Source organism: Homo sapiens, chromosome 1 (genome assembly GCF_000001405.40).
Source record: "Homo sapiens chromosome 1, GRCh38.p14 Primary Assembly".
Taxonomy (NCBI): Eukaryota; Metazoa; Chordata; class Mammalia; order Primates; family Hominidae; genus Homo; species Homo sapiens.
This window is the reverse complement of record NC_000001.11, coordinates 37,373,866-37,389,022: the sequence shown is the minus strand read 5'-3', so window position 1 is coordinate 37,389,022 and position 15,157 is coordinate 37,373,866. Positions and strand designations below refer to the sequence as shown.

General features: G+C 44.3%; 1 annotated feature.

Moving 5' to 3' along the window:
- Positions 2,599–2,768: an enhancer, noted in NCBI's record as "experimental_7809 CRE fragment used in MPRA reporter constructs". NCBI's record gives its function as "activates a minimal promoter by MPRAs in K562 erythroleukemia cells, with activity observed for the introgressed 1:37851941 variant allele {active_cell/tissue: K562}" and the evidence as "EXISTENCE:reporter gene assay evidence [ECO:0000049][PMID:34662402]".

The window sequence follows — 15,157 nt, the reverse complement described above, 5'->3', positions numbered from 1 at the left end:
TCTTGGAGATGGTGTCATCAACCCATTTTACTGGTGAGGAGACTGAGGCCCAGGGGACACTGTCAAGGGGCTGGCTAGTGGGGCTGGCTTTCTGATTCCCAGCCCACTACTCTCACTCTCTGTCCAAGGTCAGCCAGCATCTTGCTTCTCTCAGTCTGGCTGGGCTGGCCATCCCCCTGAGTCCAAACCTGATCCAGGATCCTTTTGTCTGGTGCCTGAGGAATCTGCATTGCCCCGCGATTCAGTTTTCTGAGCTCTGGCTCAACGTGCTTTCCAAGAATTTCTTTCTCTTCCTGATTTCCTATCTCTTTTCACCTCTCACTCTCTCTTCGTCATTGCACAGAGCCAGGCACAGAGGCAGCTATTGGGGTTAAAAGATAGATGAGGTCGGCCAGGTGCGGTGGTTCACGCCTGTAATCCCAGCACTTTGGGAGGCTGAGGAAGGTGGATAACCTGAGGTCGGGAGTTCGAGACCAGCCTGACCAACATGGAGAAACTCCATCTCTACTAAAAATACAAAATTAGCCGGGCGTGGTGGCACATGCCTGTAATCCCAGCTACTCGGGAGGCTGAGGCAGGAGAATCACTTGAACCCAGGAGGCAGAGGTTGCAGTGAGCCAAGATCACGCCATTGCACTCCAGCCTGGGCAACGAGAGTGAAACTCTGTCCTGAAAAAAAGATAAATGAGGTCTCACCCCATTTCTGGGCAGGTGCATCCAATCTAGTCACATTCTCTCTCTCTGCATCCTTTGCAACCACTGGGCCCCACTTCTCTCTCCCTTTTGTTTAATCTGGTTTTGAGGGGAACAATGGGGATGCTTTTGCCTATTGCAAGCTGCTGTGGGCATGGGCTCCAGGCCATGCCCACATCGCAGACCAGGCAAAGCAGTGCAGGTAGCATGAGGAGGGCAGTCACCAGGAGGTCACCTGTCACCTGTCTCCAGGGAGGTTACCTGTCTCCAGGCAGGTCACTTGTTTCCAAGCAGGCCGCCTTCTAGACCCGCATGCTGGTGACTCTTCAGAGTTCTCAGGGTAATTTTGTTCCCTGAAAAGGAGGCCATCCCTGGGCCTGCCAGGCCGCTGCTCTGGGGCCTTGCCCTCTGGTTCTCCTGCCCATTTGGGAGAGCGTCTTTGTCACAGGAGCTGTGACAAAGGGGGTGCAAGAGGCTTCTGGCTGAGCTAAACTGATCATACTCTGGATACAGCTTTCAGTTAATCTCTGAGGTGTTTTGAGGTTGTCTTTGGGGAAGAGGGAGAAGTAGGCCTGGGGAGGAGCTAGGTGGCAAGACAGAAAAGAGACAGTGTATCAGGAGGGGCCTTATAAAGATAGACAGATGATAGCTATGGAGAAGAGGCTGATGGGAGAGTGTTGTTAGCTGTCCCCGAGGATTCACCGCTCCAAAAAGAGAATTTGGAATGCCTGCAGCATTTTGGAAAGTCCTTTGTTCCTCCCTTTCTGGGGGAGCCAGAGCCTTCCCAGGGGATTCACTGGGACCAGGTCTCAGATGGGCCAGGAGAGGGGACAAGGGGATGAGAGTACACTAGTGGCTGCTGTGCAGAAACAAAGCCAGGTTGAGGACATGTCCATAGCTCCTCCTGTTTTGCTTAAGCACCTCCCAGGAGTCTGGGTCCCTTCCTGGCACAGTGCTGTGCAAACCAGTCTCTTCCCCAAAGCCATGGCCCCTTTCATGCCTCAGTTAACTGCAGAAAATGCATGAATTTATTTCTGCAAAGCTAACCTGAAACAAAAAACATTATATTGGCTGGAAGGAGAAACTTTGTGGGCGGGAGAGGTGGAAAGTCACTGCTCCTGGCCCCTGGGGATCCCAGTCTCTTCAGAACCAGCTGCATACAGCCAGAAGCTGGGGCTGAAACAGACTCTCTGGTTCCTTATTAGCTCCAGGTTCTCCTTAATCTGATGATTCTTGAGATAGCAGGAAGCTCTTAGTTCCCTTCTCACAAGGGTGGGCTTGAGTGAAATCAAATAGACTTCTAGTGTCGTTTCAATCACCTGCCTGAAAGGCTTGATTTAGCTCTCTGGTCAGAAAGATGGGATTCAATCAATATTCATCCAAAAAAGCACATTCTTCCTAAAAAATTACTTTGCGTATTATTAAACAGTAGTGACACTCCCATCTCCCAGGGAGCCCCAGCTTGTGTTTTGAGAAGAGGCACACAACACATGGGAAAGTTGTGATTTATTTCTTCACTTTCTTTCAGATTCATTTCACGGCTCTTTTGGCAGATGGGACAAGTGGCATTTGACTTTCCTTTTTTTTTATTTTTTTGAGACAGGGTCCTGCTCTGTTGCTGGAGTACAGTGGTACAATCATAGCTCACTGTAGCCTCTAGCTGTTGGGCTCAAGTGGTCCTTCTGCCTCAGCCTCCCAAGCTGGGTGACTACAGGCATGCACCACCATGCCCAGCTAAGTTTTTGTTTTTTGTAGAGATGGGGTCTCACTATATTGTCCAGGCTGGTCTCTTGGGCTCAAATGATCCTCCTGTCTCAGCCTCCCTAAATGCTGGGATTACAGGTATGAGTAACTGTGCTTGGCTGACTTTCCTGAAGGGAGAAGGAGAAGGTACTGGTGGCAGGACTAGGGAGGCAGGGCGGTGGGGCTACTGGTCAGGCCTGATGGCGTGAAGGTACACCCTGTCACAAAGACACATGCACCAAAGTGGTTTTCATGAAACAAGCCCAGTCTGCACTGACTGGCGGGTCTTTCCCTTGGGAGACACAGCCCTGGCTTTGGAATTGGTCAGAATCCTGGCTGTGTGGCCTAGAGCAAGCCACTTTGGCCTCTGAACCTCAGTCTCCTTAATTGTCAAATGGGGAGAATAGCACCAACGTGGTAGGGTTGTGCGAGGAATAAATGGGACAACACACGTGCAGTTGCTGGCTCATGACAGGCGCTCAGCTAATTTGAGTTCCTTTTTTGGAAGGTTGCTGATAACGTCTTTTTCATTTCTGTATATTAAATGTGGAGAAGGCATTTACTAATTTGTTGAATAAATGGAATTTTTATAAAAAAGAAATTTGTTTAGCTCTGAAATTTTACTTCCGTTAGCTAGAGATGTGAATTGTGAGCTTAAATGGTGCGGTGGCTCATGCCTGTAATCCCAGCACTTTGGGAGGCCGAGGCGGGTGGATCACCTGAGGTCAGGAGTTCGAGACCAGCCTGGCCAACATGGTGAAACCCTGTCTCTAATAACAATATAAAAAAATTAGCTGGGCATGTGGTGGTGGGCACCTGTAATCCCAGCTACTTGGGAGGCTGAGACAGGAGAATTGCTTGAACCCAGGAGATGGAGGTTGCAGTGAGCTGATACGGTGCCACTGCACTCCAGCCTGGGCAACAGAGTGAGACTCCATCTCAGAAAAAAAAAAAAAAGTGCATGTTGCGGGCCAGGGGCGGTGGCTCACACCTATAATCCCAGCACTTTGGGAGGCCGAGGTAGGCGGATCACCTGAGGTTAGGAGTTCGAGACCAACCTGGCCAACATGGTGAAACCCTGTCTCTACTAAAAATACAAAAATTAGGCCGGGCGCGCTGGTTCATGCCTGTAATCCTAGCACTCTGGGAGGCTGAGGCGAGTGAATCACGTGAGGTCAGGAGTTCAAGACCAGCCTGGTCAACATGGTGAAACCCCGTCTCTACTAAACATACAAAAAATTAGCTGGGCGTGGGGGTGCACGCCTGTAATCCCAGCTACTCAGGAGGCTGAGGCAGGAGAATTGCTTGAACCTGGGAGACAGAGGTTGCAGTGAGCCGTGATTGCACCATTGCACTCCAGCCTGGGCAACAAGAGCGATACTCCATCTCAATAAAAAGAAAACAAAAACACAAAAATTAGCTGGGTGTGGTGGTGTGTGCCTGTAATCCCAGCTACTAGGGAGGCTGAGACAGGAGAATCGCTTGAACCTGGGAGGTGGAGGTTGCAGTGAGCTGAGATAGATAGTGCCACTGCACTTCAGCCTTGGCAACAGAGTGAGACTCTGTCTCAAAAAAAAAAAAAAAAAAAGTGCATGCTTTGACATGGGTACCTTTGCTGAGGTTGGGGGTGGGGAAACTACAGCTCACAGGCCACACCTGCCCGTTTTTTGTAAGTAATATCACTACACCCATTTATTTGCATATCATCTGTGGCTGCTTTCACACAACAACTACAGAGTTCAGAGTTTGCAACAGGGACTATCTGACCCGCAAAGCCTAAAATATTTACTATCTTGTCCTTTATAGAAAAAAAGTTTTCTGAATTCTGGCTTGGGCCAGTGGTTCTCGAACTTTAGTCTATATCAGAATCATCTAAGGAGCTTGTTAAAACAAATATTGTTGGGCCCCACCCCCAGAGATCCTGATTTAAAAGATCTGTGGCAGAGCCTAAGAATGTGCATTTCTTTCCTTCCTTCCTTCCTTCCTTCCTTCCTTCCTTCCTTCCTTCCTTCCTTCCTTCCTTCCTTCTTTCTTTCTTTCTTTCTTTCTTTCTTTCTTTCTTTCTTTCTTTCTTTCTTTCTTTCTTTCTTTCTTTCTTTCTTTCTTTCTTTCTTTCTTACTTTTCTTGAGACAAAGTCTCACTCTGCTGCCCAAGCTGGAGTGCAGTGGCGCTATCTCAGCTCACTGCAACATCCATCTCCTGGGTTCAAGCGATTTTCCTGCCTCAGCCTCCCGAGTAGCTGGGACTACGGGTGCGCACCACCACGGCTGGCTAATTTTTGTATTTTTAGTAGAGATGGGGTTTCACTATGTTGGCCAGGCTGGTCTTGAACTCCTGACCTCATGATCTGCCCTCGCTGGCCTCCCAAAGTGCTAGGATTATAGGTGTGAGCCACTGTGCCTGGCCAAGAATGTGCATTTCTAACAAGTTCCTAGGTGATGCTGATGCCCGTGCTGCTGATCTGCGGCCACACATTGAGAACCATTGGCTTAAGGCTGTTTCTTATGCCTGGAATGCCTTTTCTCCAACTGCCTTTTAAATTGTAGCTGTTTTGAAAGATCAGCTCAAATGCAACCTCAATGACGCTTTATGAACTGGACACCTGCTATATGCCAGACACTGTAAAGGCATTGAGGATACAATTTGGTGGACAAAACAGACACATTGTCATTCTTTGTGAAGCTTTCAGTCTATTGGGGACATGGACAATGAACAGTTAAAAATATAAGTACAAATTGTGATGGGTATGATGAAGGGCATCATGAGAAAATTAAAAGTGGAGTCTACTCTACTTGGGGGGTTAGGAAAAGCATCTCTAAGGAGAGACATTTTAGCTGACATCAGGATAAGAGAAAGTCATCCTGGAAAGAACGAGGAAAAGATTCTTTCAGGCAGAGGGAAGAATTGTGCAAAAGCCTTGGAGTAGGAAAGAGTGTGTTGCATTTAAGGGGTGAAGAAAGGCCAGTGTTGTTGGAGCGAAGGAAGAGGACATGATACAAGGTGAGTATGGTGATGTAGGTAGAGGATAGGTCACAGATTGCATTGTTGGCCCCAACTTTTAACCCCTCCCTGCATTCACAGCCTTGCCTCAGTGTCATTGTGGGTGTAGACACCTGTCCTTTGCCTTTGGGCTTGGCCACAAGATTTACTTTGGCCAACTGATATTCCTATAGAAGTTCCAGCCTAGGCCTTGAGAGGATTCATATGTTTTAAATTGCTATCTTGTTTCTGCCAGCATCACCAGCAAAACACGTCAAGGCTAATGTGCTGGTCCAAAGCATGCGGAACGGTCGTTAGCCTAAATCAGCTGATCCAGCTGACAGATGGACATGTGATAATATGTTACTGTTGTTGTTAGCCCACTGTGTTTTGGAATGGCTTGTTTTGGGGATGGTTTGTTACACAATAGTAGCTGACTAAGACTAACAATAATGAGAAATTTGAGCTTTATTCTAAGTACAATGGGATGTCATTGAAAGTGTTTAACTAGAAGTGTAACATGATCTGGTTTATGATTGCAAATGATCTCTCTGGCTGCTGTGAGGAGGGTAAGGTGTATGGAGGAGGCAAGAGACCACCCTAAGCCATGTGTCCAGACTCAGAGCCCAGCACAGTGCCTGGCATAGTAGAGGTGCTCAGGAGCTGTTGTTCAGCCCTCCGTAGCTGGAATGAACCCACCCTTCCCTGTATCCCCCAATACTCTCTTTGGGCCCTCTTACCTGTGACTTGGTGGTAACGGTGCTCATTATACTCCTGCTGGATTTGGGATTCTTGAGGGTAGAGACCTAGGTCCTTCTATATGTCTCCTGGGCCCCTGTAGGCTCAGCTCAGAGCAGAAGTCAATAACCTCCCTGAAATGAATTAATATAAAGGGTTTTTCTACAGCTGCTACAAGTTGGATTTTCACTTCAGTGGTCTCTAATGGATCCAGACACTTAAGTGACTTCTACCAGGTCATGGGGTGGCTTCCTTTAAAACCTCATCAGCAAAGAGGGACTGCTTGAGTGGTTCCCCTTTAGTCCTAAGATGCGTGGAAGTGGATATTGCAGAGAGAGAGAGCTCTGAGGCAAGGAGCAACTCCTCTACGAAGGCTTGAAGAACTGGGCAGGAAAGCCAGCTGGAGCCTATTTACAAACCTTTCCTAAAAAACTAACAAACATGAGTAAACCCACTGTGGCAGGAACACCTGTTCTGTGGGGATGTTTCCTAACACTTTACTTCAAAATATCTGGAAAGCAAAAGCAGCCTGTACATACACTCTCAAACTTAAATAAGCAAATCTACTTTTTTTGGACGAATTTTGACTACCCTGGTTCTCACACTATTTACCCATGAGGCTCAGAGTATTTAACCAAAAAATTTTATGACTTACACTAGGATTATATCCCCAAAGAGCAGGCCAAAAATGGGGATAGACTAGATCCTTCTATCCCTGGAAATTTTATAGAAAGACAAAAGCTTTTTTGTCTCATATTAGTTGGTCTGGCTCAAAGGCAGAAACATTCCCCAGATAGCCTCTGTTGAGCTGCCTGTTTCAGGAAATGAGCTTTAACTAGTTCAATAGTTCAACCCAGTGCATCAGAATTTGCTGGTCGTCTAATATGCACCCCTCCCTGGGCTAGGCAGTGATGGGTGGCAAAGATGCCTAAATGCCGTTTTGGCCTCAGCAGTCTTAAGCTTGGTAAGGCAATACATTCATTTTTAGAGGAATTATTTAATTAGAGTCAGTTTCTCTGACTAGGTTGAGCAGAGACTGGGTGTGTTTCTTCTACAGCATGGCATTACCAATGCCTAATACAATGTCTGGCAGCACTTAGTAGGTGCTCACTAAAATTTGTTTTATAATCAAGGTATAATCTATATATGGTGAAATGGACAGATCTTATATCCATAAGATATTCCTGATGAGTTTTGGCAAATGTGCAACCAACACCCTAATCAAGATCTACAGCAGCATTGTCCCACTGAAACATAGTGTGAGCCACACAGGTAATTAAAATTTTTAAATTTTTCTAGCAGCCTCATTACAAAAGCAAAAAAAGACTGGACACAGTGGCTCATGCCTGTAATCCCAGCACTTTGGGAGGCAGAGGTGGGAGGATCATGTTTAGGTCAGGAGTTTGAGACCAGTCTGGCCAATATGGTGAGACCCTGTCTCTACTAAAAATACAAAAATTAAGTGAAGGTGATGGCACACACCTGTAATCCCAGCTACTCAAGAGGCTGAGGCAGGAGAATCACTTGAACCTGGAAGGCAGAGGTAACAGTGAGCTGAGATCATGCCACTGTACTGCAGCCTGGGCAACAGAGCGAGACTCTGTCTAAAAAAAAAAAAAAGGAAAAAGAAACAGGTGAAATTAATTTAGTAATATATTTAAGGCATCCATTCCAAGATGGCCAACTAGGAACAGCTCAGGTCTGCAGCTCCCAGCATGATTGACAAAGAAGATGGGTGATTTCTGCATTTCCAACTGAGGTACCTGGTTCATCTCATTGAGACTGGTTGGACAGTGGGTGCAGCCTGCAGTGGGTGAGCCAAAGCAGGGTGGGGCTTCGCCTCACCTGGGAAGCGCTAAGGGTCAGGGGATTTCCCTTTCCTAGCCAAGGGAAGCCATGACAGATGGTACCTGGGAAAATGGGACACTTCTGTCCAAATACTGCGTTTTTCCCACAGTCTTAGCAACCGGTAGACCAGGAGATTCTCTCCCGTGCCACACTTGGCAGGTCCCACGCCCATGGAGACTTGCTCACTGCGAGGGCAGCAGTCTGAGATTGACCTGCAAGGCAGCAGCCTGGCGGGGGGAGGGGCGTCTGCCATTGCTGAGGCTTGAGTAGGTAAACAAAGCAGCCAGGAAGCTCAAACTGGGTGGAGCCCACCGCGTGTCAGCAAGGCCTACTGCCTCTGTAGACTCCAACTCTGTGGGCAGGGCATAGCTGAACAGAAGGGAGCAGAAACTTCTGAAGAGCTAAATGTCCCTGTCTGACAGCTCTGAAGAGAGCAGTGGTTCTCCCAGCATGGTGTTTGAGCTCTGAGAATGGCCAGACTGCCTCCTCAAGTGGGTCCCTGACCCCCACGTAGCCTAACTGGGGGACGCCTCCCAGTAGGGGCTGACAGACACCTCATACAGGCAGGTGCCCCTCTAGGATGAAGCTTCCAGAGGAAGGATCAGGCAGCAATAATTGCTGTTCTGCAGTATTTGCTGTTCTGCAGCCTCCACTGGTGATACCCAGGCAAACAGCGTCTGGAGTGGACCTCCAGAAAACTCCAATAGACCTGCAGCTGAGGGACCTGACTGTTAGAAGGAAAACTAACAAACAGAAAGGAATAGCATCAACATCAACAAAAAGGACATCCACACCAAAAACTCATCTGTAGGTCACCAACATCAAAGACCAAAGTTAGATAAAACCACAAAAATGGGGAGAAACCTAGAGCAGAAAAGCTGAAAATTCTAAAAACCAGAGTGTCTCTTCTCCTCCAAAGGATCACAGCTCCTCGCCAGCAACAGAACAAAGCTGGATGGAGAATGACTTTGATGAGTTGACAGAAGTAGGCTTCAGAAGGTCGGTAATAACAAACTTCTTCAAGCTAAAGGAGTATGTTCTAACCCATCACAAGGAAGCTAAAAACCTTGAAAAAATGTTAGACGAATGGCTAACTAGAATCAACAGTGTAGAGAAGACCTTAAATGACCTGATGGAGCTGAAAAACATGGCATGAGAACTTCGTGACACATGCACAAGCTTCAATAGCCGATTTGATCAAGTGGAAGAAAGGATATCAGTGATTGAAGATCAAATTAATGAAATAAAGCAAGAAGACAAATTTAGAGAGAAGAGTAAAAAGAAACAAACCAAGCCTCCAAGAAATATGGGACTATGTGAAAAGACCAAACCGACATTTGAATGGTGTACCTGAAAGTGACAGGGAGAATGGAACCAAGTCACAAAACACTCTTCAGGATATTATGCAGGAGAACTTCCCCAATCTAGCAAGGTAGGCCAACATTCAAATTCAGGAAATACAGAGAATACCACAAAGATACTCCTTGAGAAGAGCAACCCCAAGACACATAATTGTCAGATTCACCAAGGTTGAAATGAAGGAAAAAATGTTAAAGGCAGCCAGAGAGAAAGGTCGGGTTACCCACAAAGGGAAGCCCATCAGACTAACAGTGGATCTCTCAGCAGAAACCTTACAAGCCAGAAGAGTGTGGGGGCCAATATTCAACATTCTTAAAGAAAACAATTTTCAACCCAGAATTTCATATCCAGCCAAACTAAACTTCATAAGTGAAGGAGAAATAAAATCCCTTACAGACAAGCAAATGCTGAGAGATTTTGTCACCACCAGGCCTGCCTTACAAGAGCTCCTGAAGGATGCACTAAACATGGAAAGGAACATCTGGTACCAGCCACTGCAAAAACATGCCAAATTGTAAAGACCATCGATGCTATGAAGAAACTGCATCAATTAATGGGCAAAATAACCAGCTAACATCATAATGACAGGATCAAATTCACACATAACAATATTAACCTTAAATGTAAATGGGCTAAATGCCCCAATTAAAAGATACAGACCGACAAATTGGGTAAAGAGTCAAGACCCATCAGCGTGCTGTATTCAGGAGACCCATCTCATGTGCAGAGACACACATAGGCTCAAAATAAAGGGATGGAGGAAGATCTGCCAAGTAAATGGAAAGAAGAAAAAAAGACAAAAGGAAAAAAAAAAGTAAGGGTTGCAATCCTAGTCTCTGATAAAACAGACTTTAAACCAACAAAGATCAAAAGAGACAAAGAAGGCCATTACATAATGGTAAAGGGATCAATTCAACAAGAAGAGCTAACTATCCTGAATATATATGCACCCAATACAGGAGCACCCAGATTCATAAAGCAAGTCCTTAGAGACCTACAAAGAGACTTAGACTCCCACACAATAATAATGGGAGACTTTAACACCCCACTGTCAATATTAGACAGATCAACGAGACAGAAGGTTAACAAGGATATCCAGGAATTGAACTCAGCTCTGCACCAAGCGGACCTAATAGACATCTACAGAACTCTCCAAATCAACAGAATATACATTCTTCTCAGCACCACATCACTCTTATTCTAAAACTGACCCATAATTGGAAGTAAAGCACTCCTCAGCAAATATAAAAGAACAGAAATCACAACAAACTGTCTCTCAGACCACACTGCAATCAAATTAGAACTCAGGATTAAGAAACTCACTCAAAACTGCACAACTACATGGAAACTGAACAACCTGCTCCTGAATGACTACTGGGTACATAACAAAATGAAGGCATAAATAAAGATGTTCTTTGAAACCAATGAGAACAAAGACACAACATACCAGAATCTCTGGGACATATTTAAAGCAGTGTGTAGAGGGAAATTTATAGCACTAAATGCCCACAAGAGAAAGCAGGAAAGATCCAAAATCAAAACCCTAACATCACAATTAAAAGAACTAGAGAAGTAAGAGCAAACAAATTCAAAAGCTAGCAGAAGGCAAGAAATAACTAAGATCAGAGCAGAACTGAAGGAGATAGAGACACAAAAACCCTTCAAAAAATCAATGAATCCAGGAGCTGGTTTTTTTGAAAGGATCAACAAAATTGATAGACCACTAGCAAGACTAATAAAGAAGAAAAGAGAGAAGAATCAAATAGATGTGATAAAAAATGATAAAGGGGATATCACCACCGATCCCACAGAAACACAAACTACCATCAGAGAATACTGTAAACACCACTAAGCAAATAAACTAGAAAATCTAGAAGAAATGGATAAATTCGTGGACACATACACCCTCCCAAGACTAAACCAAGAAGACATTGAATCTCTGAATAGACCAATAGCAGGCTCTGAAATTGAGGCATAATTAATAGCTTACCAACCAAAAAAAGTCCAGGACCAGATGGATTCACAGCCGAATTCAGCCAGAGATACAAAGAGGAGCTGGTACCATTCCTTCTGAAACTATTCCAATCAACAGAAAAAGAGGGAATCCTCCCTAACTCATTTTATGAGGCCAGCATCATCCTGATACCAAAACCTGGCAGAGACACAACAAAAAAAGAGAATTTTAGAACAATATCCCTGATGAACATCGATGCGAAAATCCTCAATAAAATACTTGCAAACCGAATCCAGCAGCACATCAAAAAACTTATCCACCATGATCAAGTTAGCTTCATCCCTGGGATGCAAGGCTGGTTCAACATACACAAATCAATAAACGTAATCCATCACATGAACAGAACCAATGACAAAAACCACATGATTATCTCAATAGATGCAGAAAAGGCCTTCGACAAAATTCAACAGCACTTCATGTTAAAAACTCTCAATAAACTAAGTATTGATGGAATGTATCTCAAAATATTAAGAACTATTTATGACAAACACACAGCCAATATCATACTGAATGGGAAAAACTGGAAGTATTGCCTTTGAAAACTGGCACAAGACAAGGATGCCCTCTCTCACCACTCCTATTCATCATGGCATTGGAAGTTCTGGCCAGGGCAATCAGGCAAGAGAAAGAAATAAAGGGTATTCAGTTAGGAAAAAAGGAAGTCAAATTGTCCCTGTTTGCAGATGACATGGTGGTATATTTAGAAAACCCCATCGTCTCAGCCCAAAATCTCCTTAAGCTGATAAGCAACTTCAGCAAAGTCTCAGCATACAAAATCAATGTGCAAAAATCACAAGCATTCCTATACACCAATAACAGACAAACAGAGAGCCAAATCATGAATGAACTCCCATTCGTAATTGCTACAAGGAGAATAAAATACCTCGGAATCCAACTTACAAGGGATGTGAAGGACCTCTTCAAGGAGAACTACAAATCACTGCTCAACAAAATAAAAGAGGACACTAACAAATGGAAGAACATCCATGCTCATGGATAGGAAGAATCAATATTGTGAAAATGGCCATACTGCCCAAGGTAATTTATAGATTCAATGCCATCCCCATCAAGCTACCAATGACTTTCTTCACAGAATTGGAAAAAACTATTCTAAAGTTCATATGGAACCAAAAAAGAGCCCACATAGCCAAGACAATCCTAAGCAAAAAGAATAAAGCTAGAGGCATCATGCTACCTGACTTCAAACTATACTACAAGGCTACAGTAACCAAAACAGCATGATACTGGCACCAAAACAGATACATAGACCAATGGAACAGGACAGAGGCCTCAGAAATAACACTACACATCTACAACCATCTGATCTTTGACAAACCTGACAAAAACAAGATATGGGGAAATGATTCCCTATTTAATAAATGGTGCTGGGAGAACTGGCTAGCCATCTGTAGAAAGCTGAAACTGCATCCCTTCCTTACACCTTATACAAAAATTAATTCAAGATGGATTAAAGATTTAAATGTTAGACCTAAAACCATAAAAACCCTAGAAGAAAGCCTAGGCAATATCATTAAGGACATAGGCATGAGCAAGGACTTCATGACTAAAACACCAAAAGCAAAGGCAACAAAAGCCAAAATAGACAAATGGGATCTAATTAAACTAAAGAGCTTCTGTATGGCAAAAGAAACTACCATCAGAGTGAACAGGCAACCTACAGAATGGGAGAAAATTTTTGCAATCTACCCATCTGACAAAGGGCTAATATCCAGAATCTACAAAGAACTTAAACAAATTTACAAGAAAAAAAAACAAAAAAACCCATCCAAAAGTGGGCGAAGGATATGAACAGACACTTCTCAAAAGAAGACATTTATGCAGCCAACAGACACATGAAAAAATGCTTATCATCACTGGTCATCAGAGAAATGCAAATCAAAACCACCATGAGATACCATCTCACACCAGTTAGAATGGCAATCATTAAAAAGTCAGGAAACAACAAATGCTGGAGAGGATGTGGAGAAATAGGAACGCTTTTACACTGTTGTTGGGAGTGTAAATTAGTTCAACCATTGTGGAAGACAGTGTGGCAATTCCTCAAGGATCTAGAACTAGAAATACCATTTGACCCAGTGATCCCATTACTGGGTATATACCCAAAGGATTATAAATCATGCTGCTATAAAGACACATGCACACATACGTTTATTGTGACACTATTCACAATTGCAAAGACTTGGAACCAACCCAAATATCCATCAATGATAGACTGGATTAAGAAAATATGGCACATATACACCATGGAATACTATGCATCCATAAAAAAGGATGAGTTCATGTCCTTTGCAGGGACATGGATGAAGCTGGAAATCATCATTCTCAGCAAACTATCACAAGGACAGAAAACCAAACACCGCATGTTCTCACCACAGGTGGGAATTGAACAATGAGAACACTTGGACACAGGACAGGGAACATCATACACCAGGGCCTGTCACGAGGTGGGGGGATTGGGGAGGGATAGCATTAGGAGGAATACCTAATGTAAATGATGAGTTGATGGGTGCAGCAAACCAACATGTCACATGTATACCTATGTAACAAACCTGCACGTTGTGCACATGTACTCTAGAACTTAAAGTATAATAAAAAAAGAAAAAAAATTTACCTAAACTAATATGTCCAAAATATGGTCATTTCCATATGTAAGCAATGTAAAATTTATGAATGAGATGTTTTATATATTTTGCCTATCCTAAGTCTTTGGAAACCAGGTTTTATACTTAAAGCACATTTCAGTTCAGACTAGCCATATTTTAAGTGCTGAATAGCCACATGTGGTTAGTGCCTACTGTGTTGGACAACACAGAATCAGAACCTTTTCTTCACCCTAGGAAATTCTGATTTCTGCCTGCCTGTGAGTCAATCCCCTTGTTACCAGATGCAACTGCTTTTCTGATTTCTATCACCATAGATTAGTTTTGCCTGTTCTTGAACTTGTAAAGAGCTCAAACTCGTGTGTTTGGTTTCTTTTACTCTACATAATATTTTCGAGATCCATGTTGTGTTTATCAGTAATTTGTTCCCTTTTCATTGCAGAGTGGAGTTCCACTGTCTGCCTATGCCATGTTTGTGTATCCACCTTTAATAAATATTTGTTTTTGAATGAATGTCAGTGCAACATGGTAAGCTACATAAGGAGCCCCGTGCGAAGGACAAAGTGTTCTATGGATTCAGGGTGGCAGGATGACAAGAATTCAGGGGGTTGGATGGCCTAGGGTGGTGTTCTAGAAAAGCGGGGCATTTGGATTGGACTTAAGGAGATACTTAGAGTCTCGATAGGTGAAAGTGGAGGAGGGGAGGCATTCTACATGGAGGAAGTGTCTGGAGCAAAGGCCTGGACCTGGGTGGTCAGGACTGGATTTGGAGAATGAAAGTCTAGAAGAATTAAGGTAGGCTGGGGCCAGATCTGGAGGTCTTGAATGATGCCATAAAGGAGTCTGATCCTTCCAGGAGTACGATCAATTGCTGCTCTGGAGCAGGGACGCAGCCCTAGGTGAGAAAGATCTTCCTGGAAGAGGAGACGCTTGGCACAGGTCTTGACAGATGAGACAAGGTTTCACTATGTTGCTCAAGCTGGTCTTGAACTCCTGGACTCAAACAATCTTCTGGCCTCGGCCTCCCAAAGCACTGGGATTACAGATGTGAGCCACTGCCCCCGGCCTGGATGAGCTTTTCTGTGATTTTCCCAGCATCCCTTTTGCTGCTCATCTTCTTGCTTTGGTCCGGGTTATTGCCTCTATCCAGACCATCCTTCA